Source organism: Homo sapiens, chromosome 9, assembly GCF_000001405.40.
Source record: "Homo sapiens chromosome 9, GRCh38.p14 Primary Assembly".
NCBI lineage: Eukaryota > Metazoa > Chordata > Mammalia > Primates > Hominidae > Homo > Homo sapiens.
In genome coordinates, this window is record NC_000009.12 from 37,401,628 (window position 1) to 37,422,041 (window position 20,414).

At 49.3% G+C, this 20,414-nt stretch overlaps 2 long non-coding RNA genes across 3 annotated transcripts, besides 7 other annotated features; one reads left to right on the forward strand and one right to left on the reverse strand.

The window, feature by feature from the left end:
- Positions 1,462-1,631: an enhancer, noted in NCBI's record as "active region_28391". NCBI's record gives its function as "activates an Ori minimal core promoter by ATAC-STARR-seq in GM12878 lymphoblastoid cells {active_cell/tissue: GM12878}" and the evidence as "EXISTENCE:reporter gene assay evidence [ECO:0000049][PMID:35858748]".
- On the reverse strand, positions 3,579-7,451 carry LOC124902154 (uncharacterized). Of its 2 annotated transcripts, none has more exons than XR_007061481.1 (4): positions 7,265-7,451; positions 6,944-7,041; positions 5,915-5,993; positions 3,579-3,878 (listed from the first exon to the last, which is right to left on the reverse strand). It is a non-coding gene; the product is annotated as an uncharacterized LOC124902154 (long non-coding RNA). The 2 variants fall into 2 exon arrangements; XR_007061480.1 differs by having other exon boundaries at positions 3,579-3,983.
- LOC105376035 (uncharacterized) lies at positions 3,814-17,881 on the forward strand. The gene is made up of 4 exons (XR_007061479.1): positions 3,814-5,769; positions 7,473-7,729; positions 14,403-14,582; positions 15,129-17,881. It is a non-coding gene; the product is annotated as an uncharacterized LOC105376035 (long non-coding RNA).
- Positions 7,612-8,031: an enhancer, noted in NCBI's record as "active region_28392". NCBI's record gives its function as "activates an Ori minimal core promoter by ATAC-STARR-seq in GM12878 lymphoblastoid cells {active_cell/tissue: GM12878}" and the evidence as "EXISTENCE:reporter gene assay evidence [ECO:0000049][PMID:35858748]".
- Positions 8,517-9,308: an enhancer, noted in NCBI's record as "H3K27ac-H3K4me1 hESC enhancer chr9:37410141-37410932 (GRCh37/hg19 assembly coordinates)". NCBI's record gives its function as "activates a minimal SCP1, AML or CMV promoter by ChIP-STARR-seq in naive H9 embryonic stem cells {active_cell/tissue: H9 hESC(naive)}" and the evidence as "EXISTENCE:reporter gene assay evidence [ECO:0000049][PMID:30033119]".
- Positions 9,086-9,135: an enhancer, noted in NCBI's record as "active region_28393". NCBI's record gives its function as "activates an Ori minimal core promoter by ATAC-STARR-seq in GM12878 lymphoblastoid cells {active_cell/tissue: GM12878}" and the evidence as "EXISTENCE:reporter gene assay evidence [ECO:0000049][PMID:35858748]".
- Positions 10,056-10,105: an enhancer, noted in NCBI's record as "active region_28394". NCBI's record gives its function as "activates an Ori minimal core promoter by ATAC-STARR-seq in GM12878 lymphoblastoid cells {active_cell/tissue: GM12878}" and the evidence as "EXISTENCE:reporter gene assay evidence [ECO:0000049][PMID:35858748]".
- Positions 10,891-11,681: an enhancer, noted in NCBI's record as "H3K27ac-H3K4me1 hESC enhancer chr9:37412515-37413305 (GRCh37/hg19 assembly coordinates)". NCBI's record gives its function as "activates a minimal SCP1, AML or CMV promoter by ChIP-STARR-seq in naive H9 embryonic stem cells {active_cell/tissue: H9 hESC(naive)}" and the evidence as "EXISTENCE:reporter gene assay evidence [ECO:0000049][PMID:30033119]".
- Positions 13,385-13,679: a silencer, noted in NCBI's record as "tiled region #8540; K562 Repressive non-DNase unmatched - State 5:Enh". NCBI's record gives its function as "represses a minimal TATA promoter and a strong SV40 promoter by Sharpr-MPRA in K562 cells {active_cell/tissue: K562}" and the evidence as "EXISTENCE:reporter gene assay evidence [ECO:0000049][PMID:27701403]".

Sequence of the window (20,414 nt, forward strand, 5' to 3'; positions counted from 1 at the left end):
CACTGTTTTTACAAAAAAAAATTAAAAATGAGCCAGGCATAGAGGCATGCACCTGTAGTCTTGGCACTCAGGAGGCTGAGGTGGAAGGATAACATGAGCCCAAGAGTTTGAAGTTACAGTAACTATGATCATGCTGCTGTATTCCAGCCTGGGTGACAGAACAAGACACTGACTTAAAAAAAAAAAAAAAAAAGACATTTACAAGAATGCTATGGCAACGTTGTTTATAAGGACAAATACAAGAGAAAGATATAATAAATACTTATTGACAGGGGAATGAATAAAGATGGCACAGTTATACAAAACATATACAATATTGAGTAAATACACAAGACATATAAGGATGCCATGACATACACAAGACATACACAGCCAGCCATGGTGGCTCACACCTGTAATCCCAGCACTTTGGAAGGCTGAGGCAAGAGGATCACTTGAGCTCAGGAGTTCAAGACCAGCCTGAGCAACATCACAAGACCTTGTCTCTACTTAAAAAAAAAAAAAAAAAAAAAAAAATTGGCCGGGCGCGGTGGCTTACGCCTGTAATCCCAGCACTTTGGGAGGCCAAGGCGGGAGGATCACAAGGTCAGGAGATCGAGACCATCCTGGATAAAATGGTGAAACCCCATCTCTACCAAAAAAAAAAAAAAAACAAAAAAATTAGCTGGGCGTGGTGGCAGGCGCCTATAGTCCCAGCTACTCGGGAGGCTGAGGCAGGAGACTGGCGTGAACCCGGGAGTCGGAGCTTGCAGTGAGTGGAGATTACACCACTGCACCCCAGCCTGGGCAACAGAGCGAGACTCCGTCTCAAAAAAAAAAAAAAATTAACTAGGCTTGGTGGTGTGCACCTGTAGTCCTGGCCACTCAGGAGGCTGAGATGGGAGGTTTGCTTGAGCCTGAGGAATTTGAGGCTGCAGCAAGCTATGATTGCACCACTGCGCTCTAGCCTGCGGGACAGAGCAAGACCCCATCTCAAAAAAGAAGAAAGGGGAAAAAATTGCAATCCTACTTAAAATTGCAATATTCCACCACCCCTGCCTCTCCAGCTTCCCTTATTTTTTCCCTCTGTACTTCTCACGTTGTAACATATTAATAATGTATCTCAGTTTCATACCTTTTGTTTATGGTTTGGCTCACCCCACCAGAATGTGTGTCCCATGAGAGCAGTAATCCTCTCTGTTGTTTACGGATGTTCCCAGGGCTTAGGTTGGTGCCTCACATACAGTAGGTTCTCAATATGTATATGTTTGTGAGTTTATGAATGAATAAAAGACAGAAACCGCTACTGAAAGTTTAAAACCATGCAAAGCAATACCACTTATCATTTATGGATAAACACGCAGTTCAGGTTTGGGTTACCCCTGGTGACAGAGGTGGGGAACAGGATCAGGAAGGGACACCCAAGAGTCTTCCAGTGTCCCCGTAAGATTTATTTCCTAAGCAGGGCAATAGAGATGGAAATGTTTGTTATATTATTATCAACAAGTTTTGCATGGCAGAGAAATTCTACAGCTTGAAAAAAAAGAAAAAAAAAAGGAACAGCCAGCACCTGCAGCAGGTGTTAGAGTTTCCCAGGGTTTTTCCACATGACCTCATGGGACAGGGGTGCACAGGGGGCTTCCTGTAAACCCAGCTCAGAGCCAGGTGGGGCCTGGGACTGGGGGTTCTTCCAGAGCTCCCTAACAGGGGGGAAATCCCAGTCAGATCAAGAGAGGAAGGGGCAGCCTAGGAGGCCACCTCTTCTGGGTGAGATGGGGAGAGTGGGCCAGAATGAAGCTTGATCTTACACTGTCTTAGTAACAGCCCAACAAGTTCTAGCCCGTTGCCCAGGTAGAGCCGATTTATCAAGACAGGGGAATTGCAATAGAAAGAGTTTAATACATGTAGAGCTGGCTAAACAGGAGACTGGAATTTATTATTACTTAAATCAGCCCCTCGAAAATTCAAAAATGGGTCTTTTAAGGATGATTCAGCAGGTCTGGGACCAGGGATTGGGGAGTGCGTATTGGTCAGACTGAAGATGAAATCATACGGGGGTTGAAGTCGATTTTTTTTTTTTTTTTTTTTTTTTTGGAGATAGAGTCTCCCTCTGTCACCCAGGCTAGAGTGTGGTGGCGCGTTCTCGGCACACTGCAGCCTCTGCCTCCCGGGTTCAAGCAATTCTCCTGCCTCAGCCTCCCAAGTAGCTGGGATTACAGACATGCGCTACCATGCCCGGCTAATTTTTGTATTTTTAGTAAAGATGAGGTTTCACCATGTTGGCCAGGCTGGTGTCGAACTCCTAACCTCAAATGATCTGCCCACCTCGGCCTCCCAAAGTGTTGGGATTACAGGCGTGAATCATCCGCCTGAAGTGGATTCTTGCTGTCTTCTGTTCCTGGGTAGGATCGCAGAACTGGTTGAGCCAGATTACAGGCCTGGGTGGCACCAGTTTGTGCATCAGAGTGCATCAGCAGTGCAGGGTCTGAGAAATACCTCAAGTGCCAATCTTAGGTTTTACAATCGCGATGTTATCCCTAGGAGGAACTGGGAAGGTTCAGAATCTTGTAGCCAGCTGCGTGACTCCTAAACCATAATTTCAAATCTTATGGCTAACCTGTTAGTCTTACAAAGACAGTCTGGTCCTCAGGCAGGAAGGGGTTTGTTTAGGGAAAGGGCTGTTAGCATCTTTGTTTCAAAGTTAAACTATAAACTAAGTTCAGCCTATGCCCAGGAATGAACAGGGCAGCTTGGAGGTTAAAGGCAAGATGGAGTTGGTTAGGTCAGATCTCTTTCTCTGTCATAATTTTTTTGTTGTTTTTTTTTTTGAGTTGGAGCTTCGCTCTTGTTGCCCAGGCTGGAGTGCAGTGGTGCGATCTTGGCTCACTGCAACCTCCACCTCCCAGGTTCAAGCGATTCTCCTGCCTCAGCTTCCCAAGTAGCTGGGATTACAGGCACCTGCCCAGCTAATTTGTTCATATTTTTAGTAGAGACGGGGTTTCACCATATTGGCCAGGCTGGTCTCAAACTCCTGACCTCAGGTGATCCGCCTGCCTTGGCCTCCCAAAGTGCTGGGATAACAGGTGTGAGCCACCGTGCCCGGCCTCTGTCATAATTTTCGCAAAGGTGGTTTCATCTTTATCCAAGAGTAGGGACTTGCCGCTGGATCCCCCTGTCAGACACACGCTGCTGTGAGTCAGCTCTGGATTCCGCTTTAGGACACCTGGGAGCTGTCCCAGTTCAGAATCTGATTCCCTGTTGGAAGCTCTGCCCAGAATTTCTCAAAACTCAGTCTGCATCCTGGCCCCCACCCCCATGAATAATGGGGAGAATAAATGTGAACCCGGTTTTGTCTACATCATAGGGCTGCTGTGAGAATCAAAAAGGGTGAAAAAAAACCTCCCTGCCGGTAGAGACCAGTCTAACTGCAACTGTGCATTTTTTTCTTAACTATCCCCCTATTGTTTGATTGTGTTTGCCATTTTCTCTGCTATAAACAGCACTGCAATGAACATCTTTACATGCCTGCATATGGGTGAAGGGAAAACTTCCCCTTTTCCTTCTGAAGGTTCACTGAAAATCACCTGACAAAAGGCAGATTAGTAGGAGAAAAAGGATACACATTTATTAACATTCATGGGAGAGAATTACAGTGTGATTACCCCAATCCCCCAATGGGGTACAGAAGCTTATGTACTCTTTTTCCCAGGGGAGCGAGGAGATGGGAAACATAGAGCATTGTTTTGAGGAGCAGTAAATGATTATTAAGGAGAATGAATGGATCAGGGAGACAGAAATCAACTTGTGAATGGAATGAGTCTGAGAGGCAGACATTATGTTGTGGAAAAGTCCATCCAGCTGTGGTTGGACTTCTGACTTCTTTTCTTCCGGCTTCTTTTCTGCAGTGGATAATGGGGTATCAGACGGACAGAAGGCAAATGTGTTTCTTTTGGCAAGACACTTTCTAGGTCAGATAAGGAAATTCCAGAGAGTCCCTCCAAGGACTTGAGGGGTGAGAGGGAGAGAACGAGACAAGGTTAGAGAGGCCTTGATGCTGAGGCTTATTTGTGAGGCCTTTCAGTTTTCAAAAGCACTCAGCATGCCCAAGTGCCACATTTTGGGGAATCATTTTCTGTACCCCAACACTTATATTTTTGGTTTGCTTTAAAAAAATTATTTCTCTGGGATAAATCCCAGAGGAAATAATTGGTTAAAGCATATAAATTGTTTCTATGGCTTTTCAACCTGATAATCAAAAGGATCAGAATACTGTTCTAAAGAGTTCATGCGGCTGGGCAAAGTGGCTCATGCCTGTAATCCCAACACTTTGGGAAGCCGCGGCGGGGTGGGATGGTGGATCACCTGAGGTCAGGAGTTCGAGACGAGCCCAGCCAACATGGTGAACCTCTGTCTCTACTAAAAATACAAAAACTAACCAGGCCTGGTGGCACGACGCCTGTAATCCCAGCTATTCAAGAGGCTGAGGCAGGAGAATTGGTTGAACCTGGGAGGTGGAGTTTGCAGTGAGCTGAGATTGCACAACTACATTCCAGCCTGGGCAACAGAGCAAGACTCCATCTCAAAAAAAAAAAAAAAAAAAAGAGTTAATGCAAGTGCAAAGTTTAAGGATGACTGTCCGGGAGACACAGACTCCAGAGGAATGGAATCAATGCTCTGAAATGGAGAAGTTAAGGTTTTACTTGCATAGGTAGAAACAAAGAAGTTTAGCAGGATTACTAAAGTTTAGCAGCCTTTTCCATACGAGGCTGATCTATGAATTACAGCAATCTGATTGGTTGCAGCTTGTTCTTTGTCAGGAAAGGTATAGTCAACATCTATCTTGAGTAAATTGATTGTCACAGAGCCTATTGTGCTATCTGGTCGGAGTCAGGTACAAGAGAGGAAAGAAGGAAGTTAACCTACAAGGAGAGTCAGTAATGAGGAAAAAGGGGTCTTTCCTCCAGTGCCCTTTAGTCTTTTACGACATTTTACAAAAGAATGTAGGTATGGAAAAAGTTGATCTATAATCAGAGAAACAGAGGTTGTGGCTGCCTGTTATGTGACTCAGGTCCCACAGTCACATTTCCTTTAAGGCTCCAAATAAAATTCCAACAGGTTTGTAAGCAGACAGGGAGGGTCTCCAGGGACTATAGGCATTTAGTCAACTGGCACAATAAGCCTGTTTGACAGCCTCCTGCTTTGCAGCTTGTTTTTTCCCAAACCCTGTGTTGAATGTGGTCACCTAGTTGCTGGCACCAGCTCCTGACAGACCCAGGCAACTTCTAGATCAAGCTTGTCCAACCGGCGGCCCAGGACGGCTTTGAATGTGACCCAACACAAATTCATAAACCTTCTTTGAACATGATGAGATTTGTTTTTGCGATTTTTTTAGCTCATTAGATACAGTTAGTATTAGTGTATTTTATGTGTGGCTCAAGACAATTCTTCTTCTAGTGTGGCCCAGGGAAGCCAAAAGATTGGACACCCCTGTTCTAGATGAACCTGAGTACACATTCCTCATGACCATGCTGACCATGAGCTCCACCTCAGGAGGAGCTACACCTTCATCACCATCACAGGCAACCTGTGGGCTGGCATGATGGTGCCCTGCGTCTGCAGCAGCGGGGCCCCTCGTCCCCTCCATCACTGCATAAAACCCTCCTGTCACTTTCCCTCAGGGAGACACTGCTTTGGAGAATCCTCCCAGGGCTCTTCTTACCTGTGGCGAGTCATAAAACTCCTACTGATCCAAACCTGCGTTCTCGTGGAGAGCCGTTTGAGATTCACCAGGTGAATGAACCCCGGTTTTTTTCTGGGTAACAGGTCGAATGTGAATTACTTATTTTCACAAGCTCTTGACATGTTCCGTCAAATTGCTGTTCCCCAAAGAGTGGACTCTGGTGACATATAAGTGTGTGGGACCATTGCATCTTACCCCAGAGATCCACTCCTGATCTGGCATTATTCAAAATCTGCTGAATTCAAAACGATCCTGTACTTCCTGCTCACCAGGTCTGAAAAGAAAAAAGAAAAAAGAAGAAGGAAAGACTACACCTGACAAAAGACAGGGGGAGACATTTATATTAGTTTGCCAGTTTGAGGAAATGCCTTACTTGGCAATATTGTAAATCCAGTTTACAGCTCACTTAACTGGACAGCTTCAAAATGACTTTTTTTTGGTATACATTTTAAAAGTCAGGAGAGCTGAGACAAAAATGAGAATTTATCAGTATTTAACATTTGATAAAATACCTTGAATATTTAAAATGCTCATAAAATGCTATTATACTGTGCTTTATTTTATGTATTTTATATTTTGAGACAGGATCTCTTCTGTTGCTTAGGCTGGAGTGCAGTGTTATGATTACAGCCTACTGCAGCCTCAACTTCCTGGGTCAAGCAATCCTCCCACCTCAGCCTCCCGAGTAACTGGGACTACAGGCATGCGCCACCACACCCGGCTAATTTTTGTATTTTTAGTAGAGGTGGAGTTTCGCCATGTTGCCCAGGCTGGTCTCAAACTCCTGACCTCAGGTGATCCACCCACCTTGGCCTCCCAAAGTGCTGGGATTACAGGCGTGAGCCACCATGCCCGGCTGACACTGTACTATTTCTGCATGGCATTCTCCAGCATTGGGCACTATTATTTTGTTTTGTTTTTCATTCTAAACAAATAGGATGTCTAACAACCAAGTTTGTAGCTCCAGGCCTTGAGATCCATTTGTAAGAGTGGGGAAGAAGGAGGCAAAGTAATATATGTGCTAGCTAATAATTACATGTTCTGCTTATTAAGAATTTACTTTCTTTTGGGCCGGGCGCGGTGGCTCACCGCGGATTACAGTGCCTGTAATCCCAGCACTTTGGGAGGCTGAAGCAGGTGGATCACCTGAGTTCGAGACCAGCCTGGTCTAACATGGTGAAACCCCGTCTCTACTAAAAATACAAAAATTAGCCGGGCACGCACCTGTAATCCCAGCTACTCAAGAGGCTGAGGCAGGAGAATCGCTTGAACCTGGGAGGCGGAGGTTGTAGTAAGCTGAGATCACGCCACTGCACTCCAGCCTGGGCGACAGAGCGAAAAAAAAAAGGAATTTACTTTTTTCTTCCAGGCCCTATGCCAAGCACTTGTGTTATCTCATTTATCCTTGGATCCTTTTAATATGGGGGTTCAGTTACCCCCATATTACAGACAAGGAAACTGAGGTGCAGATCCCAGAGAGGGGGAGAGAGAGAGCACCATTCTGGTATGTAGCAGGGGGAGTCAGAGAACAAAAATCGGACTGACTGATAAGAGGCAAAGGCACTGGTGCAGGCTCTTCCCCAGCTTCCAGCTCTTTCAACCTTCTGGGCCTCGACTCTGCCCTAAGGAGAGGCTGAGGACCAGGTGATGGGCACCAATGTGTGGCTTCTTCACATCCCACAGGCCGGACCCCCTGGGCCTCACCTTCCAGTGAGGGAAGAGAGAGGTGACTGCCTTTTCTTTCTCTGCACAGAGCAGCAGGGGAGTCGTGACCCCCAGGGGCTCAGTAGAGCATGAGCCTGGCCATTGCCAAGCGGCCCGCCCATGCGTGCTGTGGTTACACGGTCTTCATGCTGGCTGGGGAGCCCCGAGAACTCGGGTTTGGTTCGTCCTCCAAACACGTGAACACGTGTTGAGCACTGACTGTGAATTCGGCAGCTGTGATGGGGGCTGAACTCAGGGCCAAGGAGCCAGGCTCCACTCCACTGTGACACCAGGTGTGGGGCTCGGGTAAGTCACCTCTGTGGCCTCTGACCGCAGTTTCCTTATCTGTAAGATGGGGATGGTGATGACTACCTCGGAAGGTTGTTGTAAGGCTTAAATGAGAAGATGGGCGTGTCTGAGGCCAGCATGGGGCCCTGTAAAGTGTGAGCAGAAAGGGGCTCTCCAGGTGCACTCCGGGTATGACTCAGGCGCCCGCTAGGATGCTCACTGGCCCGGCACTGACATCCAGAATGGACCACAAGGGAGAAAGTGGCAGGCTAGCAGGAGGGAGGCACTTTCACTAGGGGCTGGGAAGGGTCCTGGGAGGGCTTCCTGGAGGAGATAGTGTTTGCACCAAATGAAAACCGGTTCTATTCAGTGATGAGACTTGCTGCCTGCAGCTAGAACTTCCATTTAAAAACTGGACAGAAGACTTCCCCCAGGAGGTAACTTTAGACTGACTCCTGCACCTAGAGAGGGCATCCTTAGAGCATCTTAGGGGAAATCTGCCCACCCCTATGTATTTTCTTTTCTTTTTTTCTTTTCCTTTTTTTTTTTTTTTTTTTGAGACTATATCTCTCTCTGTTGCCTAGGCTGGAGTGCAGCAGTGTGATCATGGCTCACTGTGGCCTCTACCTCCTGGGACCAAGCAATCCTCCTGTATCAGCCTCTGGAGTAGCTGGGATTACAGGCATGCACCACCACACCTGGCTAATTATTTAGTTTTGGTAGAGATGGGGTCTCACTATGTTGCCCAGACTTCCCTCTGTCAATGACAGACATAATTCAATCATTCATTCATTCAATAAATATTTATTGAGCACCTACTAGGAGGTGCCAGGCATTGTTCTTGGTACTGGAATTATGGCAGCGAATGAAACAAAGCCCCTGCTCTCAGAGCTTACATCCTGGTGGGCATGGAGGGAAACTAGACAATAAACAGAGAAATAAAGATGTATCAGATTGGTGGAGTGTCCAGGGCTAGATGAGGCAGAGTGAGGGAGGGGGAGAAGGACCAGTGGGCAGGAAGTGGTGCCATCAGGGAAGCCAGTGAAGGGCCACCCTTTGAGTGACATCTGTAGGACATGAGGCTCAGACCCTGTGGACCTGGGGGGAGTGGAGAATGTTCCAGGCAGGGGAACAGCTGGTGCAGGAGGTCTGAGTGCTGGGCAGAGGGGATCCCAGGCGGGATCCCAGGAAAGCTGGAGACAGAGGGAGGGAGGTCAGAGGCGGTGGTGTCGGCCTCTGTGGGCCGTGATTAGGACCCTGGCCTTACCCGGAGGGAGACAGGAGCCTTTGGAGAGATCCCTTACTGGAGCAGAGGCTTGGCTCTGGCTGTCCGTGAGAAGGGACTGGAGCAGGCCCAGGGCAGAAACAGTGGGGCAACCAGGAGGCTGGGGCAGAGGGGCCTCAGCTTGGACCAGGTGCAGGCGACGGAGCTGGGCTGGGGGACGAGATAGGCTTCTGGGTGTGTTTAAAGTTGGAGCCATGAGGATTGGGTGATGAGTTAGACTCCCTACCCCTGAATGCCCTCACAGGACCACAAGGTTCCTGGTGCTCTCACCAAATACCATCTGGAAGCCTCCTCATTCCACAGGTGATTGTGAAAATAAGACCTTAATTGTTTCATTTTGTTTTTTTCCCCCAAAACAAAACCAAATGTAATGACTAAGAAAAGCTCCACTTCCACCTCCAGGGCGCCGCTCCCTCTGGTGGAGGGTTGGCTCCTGATTTAGATGCTTTCTATATATGAATTACAGGGAAAGGGAGGCCTGGGAGCAGGTCCTTCTGGCCAGCTGGGCGGCTCTCAGGGGCTGCCAGGATGCCTGGCTTCTGCCTGAAGTGAGCAGCTCTCAGTCCCTATGGGCCACGCCTCTGCATCATCAGGAGAGGGCTTGGGAGCACACAGGGACTTTGGTCTTTCTCCTGAGAGCAGTGAGGAGCCACGGAATGCGGCAGGCAGGGGAAAGACAAGACCGGATTTGCTTTTTAGAGGAGACCCTTGAGCAACCCCAGGAGATCAGGTTGGAGGAGGCAAGGCCGGAGGCCAAGCGGTCTGGGAGGGGCCTTCAGGGAGGGGAGGAGGGAAGGGAAGTGGGGCCCACTGAAGGCTGGGGAGTAGCTCCCTGGGCTGCCCCCTGTTGGTCATGACTCTGCCCTGGGGCCCAGGCCCGATGTCCACCTCGAGCCTTAGCTCCTGCAGGTGCAGCTAGATGGAGTCTGAGCTGGTGCAGCTATGTGGGGCCTGTTCTGGGCTAGTGACTCACTTCTGAACGGCTTTGGCAGAATGAGGCAGTTCTCCCTTTCACAAAATTCATCACAGTTCAAGCTTTTGGCCCCAAACAGCGGCAGATGACAGAGGGATTTCCTGAGGTGGTTTATGGGACTTTTGCTGAAATGGTAGCATGAACTTCACCTGGGCCTGCAGGGAGCCATCCCCTGCCTCCATCCCCTTGCTCCTCCTTGGCCTGTCCTAAATCAGGGATGGGACCTTGGTCCTTACCCAGAGCAACCTTGGCCTTCAAGCAGCATGCCTGAGCTCCTCCCTCAGGTTCTGCTCAAACCCTTTTTCCTCAGAACCTGCACACCCCGCTGGGTCGTCACACAGCAAGGCCCATGCCTCCTCCTCCAGGAAGCTGCACTCTGCCCAGATCTCCTTGGATGATGCTAACTCATGGGGTGTGGGGAGTGTGGAAGCCCAGCTTCCTTGCCTGGGGTTTCAATAACCCTGAGATGTAACTTGCATTCCAGAGCGGCCCTCGGGATCACAATGAAGCACCTGCCTGCTGGACTTGGCCAGACATGGCACTGTTGGTCTTCCTTCCCTCCCCTCTCCTGCTTCCCACTCCTTTCCTGGTTTATTCTGGGGGCACTTCCTTAATCAATCACTTGCTCACAAATCCTCAGCAGAGAGCCTGCTTCTGGGGACCCGACCCAAGACACAGCTTCCAGGGGTCACTCCTGCTGTTTCTCAGCTTGGACGGATCCTCCTTGACTGCACCCCTATAAAACAGAATGCAACGCAGAGCTTGTCTCCTGGGGAGAAGCTTCCCAGTGGGACCAGTCCTGCACTGAGGTCCCATGACACCTTGGCAGGCCCTGTTCCTGGTGCCCGAAGACTGGCCTCGGTCCTGGGAGGTAGCCCCTCCCCTTGGCTCCACCCACAGTTGAGTCTTTGCACACAAAGTTGTTCTGCCCACCTTGGCTCTTGACTCCACCCCACCTCACAGCCTCTCTGGGCCTCCGTGGCTCCATCTATACAATGAGGGCACAGGCTCTGCCCCTGTGAGCGGTGGTGTGACGCTGGTTCTGGATTCCTGCTCCCAACCTCACCCTGCGGTAGCTGAGCCAGGACCTCTGGAAAAGAGGAGCCCAGCTTGTTCAAGAATGAACAGCTGGGTCCTGGCTCAGAGAATCAACCATTCTGGCTGTTACAACTCATTACTAAATCCCAGCTATGCCCTGAGGAGGATTAAGGAAACTGCTCCGGTAAAAAATCCCCAACAGAAAGAATGCACTCCCTCCCAGGGAGCCCTAGAAATCTGACCACGGTCATCTTCTCCTGGCGGTCTCTAACCAATGCACATTCCGGGTGTTTGCGTGCCAGAGGGGCCAGCTGGGCATCTGCGCGATTGGCCAATGCCTGGCAGAAAAGCAGCCCAGGGTGCTAGCTTTCTGATTCACGGGCAGGACTTCAGGTAATGCCAGCTGCTGAGGGAGTTTCGTTAGGCTGCATCGCCCCAGGGAGGAAACCTGAGGCTGGATGGCAAGAAGCCTGGACAGGGCACTGCTCTGCCTCGAACTTGCTGGTGACCCAGGCAGGGCACTGTCCCCTGTTAACTCTCAGCTTTCCTACTTAAAAACTGGGAATGGTATCCCCATTTACAGGGATGTACTCACTTACACAGAATATGTCTATAGAGTGTTCACCCTGTGGGGACCCATGTTGGGCACTGGAACCATGAAAAGGCTTGGACCCTACCCTGTCCTTGCCCTGTGTCGCTCCCAGGCTTGAAGCTGGGAAGGTTAAAGGAGAGGGTCCGAGGGAGAAGTGGGGTATGTATGTGGGGGCCACATTAGCACAAAGCCAGAGGCCTGCAACCATGATGCCTTGAGGCTATGGATGAATAAGCAGATGTAGCTGAAGGAGCCACTGGGGTTGGCTGGCAGGTCAGGACAGGGCAGCCATGAGGGTTGTGGTCACATGCCTCAGTGTTACTGTCTTAATCTATTTTCCGCTGCTATCACAGAATACCGCAGACTGGGTAACTTATACAGAAAATAACTTTATTTGGCTCATGGTTCTGGAGGATGGGAAGTCTAGAAAAATAGTGCCAGCATCTGGAGAGAGTCATCCTGTGGCACAAGGCATCACATGGCCAGCATGCACACAAGACAGAGAGAGAAATGGGGCCAAACTTATCCTTTTATCAGAAGCTCACTCCTGCCATAAGTAATCCACTCTTACAATAACTGCATTAATCTCTTCATGAGGGCAGAGCACCTCATGACCCAATCACCCCTAAAGGACCCATTTCTCAACACTGTCACAATAGCAATTAAATTTTATTTTATTTTATTTTTATTTTTTGAGATGGAGTTTCATTCTTATCACCCAGCCTGGAGTGCAGTGGCACCATTTCGGCTCACCACAACCTCTGCCTCCTGGGTTCAAGCGATTCTCCTGCCTCGGCCTCCTGAGTAGCTGAGATTACAGGCATGTGCCACCATGCCCAGCCACAATTAAATTTCAACAGGCATTTTGGAGAGGACGTTCAAACCACAGCAGTTACCTTCACCTGGATTTGAGTCCAGCTCAAGCGTGGTGACCTTGGGCAGGTCCTTCAGGCAGAAGGACTTGAGGCTCTCTGAGCCGCAGTTATCTTGACTTGAAAGTGAGAATCCTAACAGTGCCCACTTGAAGGCTTGTTGTGGGGTGAACACCACATAGTTTGAAGCCCGATCCTGTCTGAGTAGCGGTGGCTCTCTTGCCCCTCTGAATCTTCCAGGCTGGGGCCCTCTGCTCCCCAGAAGAGCAGACTGAGGGGCTGAGAAAGGGGCAAGTGGCTTTCTGTGTGGGGTGCAAGGCTGCAGCAGGCTGAGTCTGGGGGCAACCCAGGTCTGCTGATGAGCTGTTACCCTGCCCCCCAGGGCCACACCTCACTGGGAGCTGAAGCCTGAGCACATTTCCCAGGGGTCTGGGCTGGCCAAGGGGTCCCGACTGGGCTCTCTGCTACCCTCTGTGGCCAGCTGCTCATGTCTCTTGTACGAGAGCATCAGCTTCCAGCAGTCAGACAAAAGCCCAGGCAGGGCCGGGGTGAAAGCCACACTGCGCCTTGCCTGCTGCGCGTCATCGGAAAATGTTCGCCCCATCTGGGCTTCAGTTTCCATATCTGTATAATGGGCTTCCAGCATGTGCCCTGCCCCACCCCTCACCAAGCACAGACCAGAGGCAGGGCCCCCTCAGAGAGGAGACAGTCAGTCAGATGATCTCTATTCAAACCCAGTTCTGCTCCTTACCAGCTGTGTGACCGTGGGCAAGTCCCTCCACTGACCTGAGCCTCAGTTTCTTCGTCTGTAACTTGGGGTTCCTAAAATCAACTTCACTGGCCTTTGTGGGGATTAAACAAACTCTTGTGTGTGGAGTGCCTGGCACGGATCACTCACTCTCAGCGCAAGTTCCCTTCCGTTGGGGCCGCTCTCCGCCTCCTTACACCCTGATCTAACCTCACCTTCCACTGCCCATCTCAGCTGCTGCTGCTTCTCCTCCCTTTGGCGATGCCGACGCGCTCCAGCCTCCAGGCCTTTGCTCACCGTTTGTTCTGCCAGAAATGCCTTTTCTCCCTCTCGCATTCCTACCATTCCAAAGCATATTGTCTTCATTGCTCAGCTCAAATGCTGCCTTCTCCAGGAAGGCTCTCCGAGGAGCTCTGTGCAAGCAGACAAAAACACGGATACAGGGGCACCAGAAGGGGCATCTCTCTGCCCACATCTCTCTACTTTCGGCCTGGATCAGGCTCAAACATGGACATTTTTCTCCCCCACCTCGCAGTACACAAAAGTGCCCACTAGGTGGTGAAAGAATGACGAAGTCCCCGTGGGGATGGGCGATAAGGGAGGCCAACCAGGCACCGCCTGCATCACTCATTCGTTTATTTAACGAATATTGACTGAGCACCTGCATGGTGCCAGACTGTGGGGCAACCCAGCAACAAGGCCCGACTCTCAAGGAGCTTGTGTTCTAGCTGGGGGAGGCTGGACTGGCGGGAGACACAAAAAACAAGGAAATAAATAAAGCAGGAAAAACATGGGACAGAGATGAAGGTTACACAGAAAATGCTGGCCCAGGATCACTTGAGGCCAGGAGTTCGAGACCAGCCTGGCCAACATGGTGAAACCCCGTCTCTACAAAAAATACAGAAATTAGCCAGGTGTGGTTGCGTGCGCTGGTAATCCCAGCTATTTGGGAGGCTGAGGTGGGAGGATCCCTTGAGACTGAGAGGCAGAGGTTGCAGTGAGCTGAGATTTCACCACAGCACTCCAGCCTGGGTGACAGAGTGAGACCCCTGTCAAAAAAAAAAAAAAAAAAAAAAAGAAAAGAAAAGAAAAAAGAAAGAAAGGAAAGAAAAGGAAAGGAAAGGAAAAAAAAAAATTCCAGGCCCTTGAGTGTGTCCAGGCTTCTGACTGAGCATTCTTTCAGTGCAGAGCCACACTTTGAACCTGAGAGAGTGGCTGAGCTGGATGATTCTCAAAGTGCGCTCTGCGGACCAGCAGCAGCACCACCAGCAGCAGCATCACCCGGGAACTCAAAGGAAATGCAGGTTCTCTGGCCTCTGCCGAATGCACTGAATCAGAATCTGCATTTTAACAAGATCCCCAGGTAATTCCTTTTCAAGTTAAAGCGAGAAGCTCTGCCCAAGTCCAGAGGCTTAGGGACCAATGACACACACAAGCCAAATCTGGCCACCTATTTTCGTATGAATCCCATGCTAAGAATGGGTCCTGCTCAGAAAAAAAAAATCTAGAGAGTATTTTGTGATAAATAAAAGACATGCGAATTCAAATTTTAATGGCCATGCATAAAGTTTTATTGGAAGCCGGCTGCACCCTTTGTTTATGTATTGGCTGTGGCTGCTCTTGTACCAGAATGGTGACGTTAAGGAGCAGCAACAAAGACAGTATGGGCCACAGTGTTAAAATATTGACTCCCTGGCCCTTTGAAGAAAAAGTTGGCTAGTCCCTGCTCTAGTACATCTTCCTCACACTTTATGAATGAAGAATCAGGGCCCCGGGGGAGGGGGGCAGTATCTTGTTCAAGGCATCATGGGAGCCCTGCTTTCTCTACACGCTCAGGGTCCTGTTTCCACAGGCTCAGGCCTGAAGAGACTGAAAGCCCCCACTTTTTCTGTCTCTTGGGTTGGCCCAGGGTTGAAACCCAGGTTCCAGGCTGTGAGGAAGTCCAGGACACACTGAGAGGTCATGTGTAGGTGTTCAGGCCAACAGCACAGCCAGGGGCTCAGCTGACAGCCAGCATCAATGACCAGATGTATGGGTGAGGAGGTCTTCGGATGACTCCAGGCCAACTCCTATCTGACTACAGCTACAACTGCACAAAAGAGCCCGAACGAGAAACACTGGCTGAGCCCAGTCAACCCTGGAACCAGAAGAGATGATAATGCCATCCAGCCCTGAGATTTGTTTGGAGGGTGACGCGGCCAAGGATGACACCCACTGCCCCAGAGGCTGGGGGACTGGCAGGTATATCTTAGGGTTTGGGGGTGGGAGTGAAGGTCATCCTGAGGAGAGTCCTTTTTGAGTGTGTTAAGGTGTCTGTGTCCATGTGGACGGGCTGTCAGAATGGGCTGGGGGATGCGGTCAGGGACCACTCCCATTCCCAGGGCCTGGGTGTCCTGACCATCCATGCTAGGTCTGTTCCACGTTGGCCACACTGTTCCAGGCAAGCGCCTTTGGTCACACGGACTGGTCTCTGAGACTGGTCTGATGTGTGTACTCTCAGGAGCCTGGACAGGGGCAGTCTCAATCCAGAAATGACCTCTTCAATACTTGGTGTAGTTCCCTGTATGAAACGCCCAATATTATGAGCCACCCAGGCCTGGGTCACCTGCTGACTGGCTGGAGGAAGTGCATGGGACCATGTGAGGTCACGGCAGCCCCAGGGTTTGCAGGTCGTCTGCATCCTGGCTCCCCCGCTTACAAGCTGTTTGACCTTGGTGAGGTTAGATCATCTTCCTAAGCTTCAGTTTCTTCAGCCACACAATGGGTATAACACTTACCCTTGAGGGTTACTGCGATTGTCACACAAGGCAGCATTTGCATGGGCCCTGGGCCATGCTAGACATTCATCAGGCACTGAAGCTATGGGGGAGAGAAGTGAGGGGCCCAGGCTCTGGAGCCAGTGGGTTTAAACTCCACTCTACCACTAACAAGACATTATTAAAAACTTCTGTGCGCCTCCATTTCCTCATCTGTAACATGGGGATAATAATAGCACCTGCCTCCTGGCTTGTTGAGAGGATATATGTAGTGCTTACAACAGCACAACACACATATATGGGTACTTCACAAATACAAATCCATTCAAGGAAACCAACCCTGGTGCCCTGGGATGGCCGTTGGTCAGAGACACAGAAGCCGAAGCCAGCTTAGGACAAGCGGAGGGGCCCAGGCCTGCCCCTCGGTTCCGGGGGCCTCACTTCTGTTCCAGGGCTGTTCAGTTACCTGCTCCTAGGCCTGGGAGGCCCAGTGGACAACAGAGTGACCTCTTCTCCACTGATTTGATCTGAATACATTCTGCCCCATGAGGGCCCAAATGAGGGAACTGGTATGATATTCACAGAGAGGTGACATCACCCGCTGAAGATCACACAGCAAGTCCCTGGGCCACCTGGATCCCGGCCACAGCTCCACCCTGCTACCTCCCTCTCTTAAGTAACACATTAATAAGTGTCTTACCCTCAGGCCATTATCTGTGTTCCCAGGCCAGGGAACATTTCTGAAACACATCAAACATTGACAAAAAGAGGTGTTTTTCTGTCCCCAGGCCAGGCCCTTCGGCCTCTGTTAACCAGTGAGTGTTCTCTGTTAATCCTGAGCCCAGCTCCTCCTACACACAAGTACAAACAAGGGCATTGGGCATGGGAGAAACCTGTCCACCAGGGCCAGGAGGGGACACGGAAGGTTAATGGGTCCCCTCCCCCAAAGCAATGCACACAGCTGGGGCTCAATAAGTGCTACTGGGTGGTAGGAACAGAGCCAGCTGAGGGCACAGGAAGAGGGATCTGCTAAGCAGAGGAGGCCTGACCTGGGCTTCATTGGGTAAAACCAGTCATCATAATAAGTAGCTGGCATTTCGGGAGCTCTTAGTTAGTTCCAGACACTGCCCTGAGCACTGGACATGGTCACTCACTAACGTTTCCATGTTTCAGTATCTGTGGGGTGCATATGTTGCTCTCCCCAGTCTACAGACAGGAAGCTGCAGGCAAGAAAGATGAAGTCATTTGCTTAAGTCACACCATTACCAAGAGGCCGAGCTTGGATTCACACCCAGCACCCTGGCTCCAGACCCAAGCTCTCAACCACAATACAAGCCTGTGGAGTGGGAGGGGTGAAATACATGAGTGAGGGGTGACTTCTAGGTATTGGCTTGGGGTGGCTGTCCCTTTGATGGATATGTGGGAGGAGCGCAGGTGTCAGGTGAGGTATTGGGGAGAAGGTGGATGAATTGGGTTTGGCAGGTGTTGAGTTCCAGATACCTGAGGATGCTCAGGTGGAGGAGGCAGGAGAGAGGCGGCTTATGGCTCTGAAGCTGGGTGATGGGGGCTGGAGCTGCTCACTCCAGAGTCATCAGCGTAGAAGCGCAGCCTGGGAGACACCTGAGCGATGAAGGGGCAAGGCCACAGCTAAGGCAGGGGAATTGATATTTAGTGTGCAAGGATTCAAAATGACAGCAAGAAAAGAAGTGTTTTAGAGACTATTACTATTATTATTATTGAGACAGAGTCTTACTCTGTTGCCCAGGCTGGAGTGCAGGGGTGCAATCATAGCTTACTGTAACCTTGAACTCCTGGGCTGAAGTGATACTCCGGCCTCCGCCTTCCGGGACTCAGCCACCACAACCAGCTAACTTTTAAATTTTTCTGTAAAGACAGGGTGGGGGAGCCTCCCTATATTGCCCATGCTGGTCTTGAACTCCTGACCTCAAGCAGTCCTCCAGCTTTAGCCTCCCAAAGTGCTGGGATTACAGGAATCAGCCACCAAACCTGGCCAAATGCTATTTTTATTTATTTTATTTTATTTATTTATTTTTGAGACGGAGTTTTTTTGTTTGTTTGTCTTTTGTTTTCTTTTGAGACAGAGTCTCGCTCTGTCGCCCAGGCTGGAGTAAAGTGGCGTGATCTTGGCTCACTGCAACCTCCACCCCCTGGGTTCAAGCAATTTCCTGCCTCAGCCTCCTGAGTAGTTTGGATTATGGGCACCTGCCACCAAGCCTGGCTAATTTTTTTGTATTTTTAGTAGAGACGGGGCTTTACCATGTTGGCCAGGCTGGTCTCGAACTCCTAAGCTCAGGTGATCCACCCGCCTCAGCCTCCCAAAGTGCTGGGATTACAGGCGTGAGCCACCGCGCCTGGCCAAGTGCTATTTTTAAATGAATGTTTTCTTTATTTTGAGGGTAGATAATAAATGCACAAGATGCAAATTCCCAAAGGGTGAAAATTGTGTCTCTCTTACTCTGTCCCAGTTCACCAGGTCTTCTCCCCAGAGGCAGCCACTGTCCCCAGTTTCTTCTTTTTTCTTTTTCTTTTTTTTTTTTTTTTTTTGTTAGAGACAGGGTCTCACTCACTCTGTTGCCCAGGCTGGAGTGCAGTGGCACAATCACAGTTCACTGCAGCCCCAGCCTCCCAGGCTCAAGCAATCTTCCTACTTCAGTTTCCCAAGTAACTGGGACTACAGGTGTACACCACTACGCCTGGGTAATTAAAAAAAAATTTTTTTTTGTAGAGACAGGGTCTCGCTATGTTGCCCAGGCTTGTCTCAAACTCCTGGGCTCAAGCAATGCTCCTGACTCAGCCTCCCAAAGTGCTGGAATTACAAACCATGAGCCACTGCACCTGGCCTGTTCCCAAAGAAACAAGAAAGATGTTTCTTGTACATCTTTCCAGGGATATTTAACACACAGAAATAGGTGGCCAGGTGTCGTGGCTCACGCCTGTAATCCCAGAACTTTGGAAGTGGATCGCTTTGAGCCCAGGTGTTCGAGACAAGCCCGGTCAACATAATGAAACCCTGTCTCTACAAAAAATACAAAACATTAGCTGGGTGTGGTGGCACATGCCTGTGGTCCCAGCTGCTCAGGAGGCTGAGGCGGGAGGATCATTGGAGCACAGGAGGTAGAGGTTGCAGTGAGCCAAGATTGCACCATTGCCCTCCAGCCTAGATAACAGACTGAGATCCTGTCTCAAAAAAAAAAAAAAAAAAAAAAAAAAAAGAATAGGCATATACTTTCTCCTATAAATGGTAACATATGCACTTTGCATCACCCTGTTTTCTCACTGGACAGTACATCTTGGAGATCATTCCACACTGGTACGCACAGAGCTGCCTCACTCTTTTGATTGATGCAGAGTATTTCACTGTGGGAATGAAGCATACGTAATGAACAGTCCCCTATGAGTGGACCTTTAGGTTGTTTCCCATATTTTACTATTCCAACAATGCCACAATGAAGAGCCTTTGGCAGATGGCATTTTGCACATGTGTGAACGCGTCTGTAAGGTAAATTCCTAAAAGCAAAATTTCTGGGTCAAAAAAGATGTGCAGTCTAAACTTTGATAGCTACTGCCAAACTTTCTTATTGAAGTTGCTGATTTACACTCCTACCAGCAACGTATGAAAGCACCTGGTTCCCCAATGTATTATTTTTTACATTGGTATCTTGCTGTAATTTTAATATGCAGTTCTTTTGTGAGTCAAGTTGAGCACTTTTCATCTTTTGTTTTTTTTTTTTGTTTGTTTTGTTTTTTTTTGTTTTAGATGGAGTCTCACTCTGTCACCCAGGCTGGAGTGTAGTGATGGGATCTCGGCTCACTGCAACCTCCATCTCCTGGACTCATGAGCAATTCTCCTGCCTCAGCCTCCTGAGTAGCTGGAATTACAGGCATGTGCCACCATGCCCACCTAATGTTTGTATATTCAGTACAGACAGAGTTTCACCATGTTGGCCAGGCTGGTCTCAAACTTCTGACCTCAAGTGATCCGCCTGCCTCGGCCTCCGAAAGTGCTGGGATTACAGGCATGAGCCACCGCGCCCAGCCATACATTTAAAGGCCATTTTCTTTTCTATAAACTGTCCATTGATATCCTTTGCTTATTCAGATAAGCTGGGCATCTTTGTCTTAGGAACTATTTGTGCAATAAGTAAATCAACCCCTTGTCTATAAAATGAGTTGCAAATATATGGTATTTTTCCCGGTTTGTTGTCTTATGATTTTGTTAATTTTTTTTTTTTAAGATAAACATAAGCCTGGTATTTCCAGGCACCTGGTATTTCCAGGCAGTCTCCCATACAAGCCCTAACCAGGCTTAGTTTCCAAGATCAGATGCATTCAGGATGGTACGGTTAATTTTTCAATGGAGAATTAGTTGTACTCTTATGGCTTCTGGCTTTCGCACACATAGCGTATCACTTATTTAT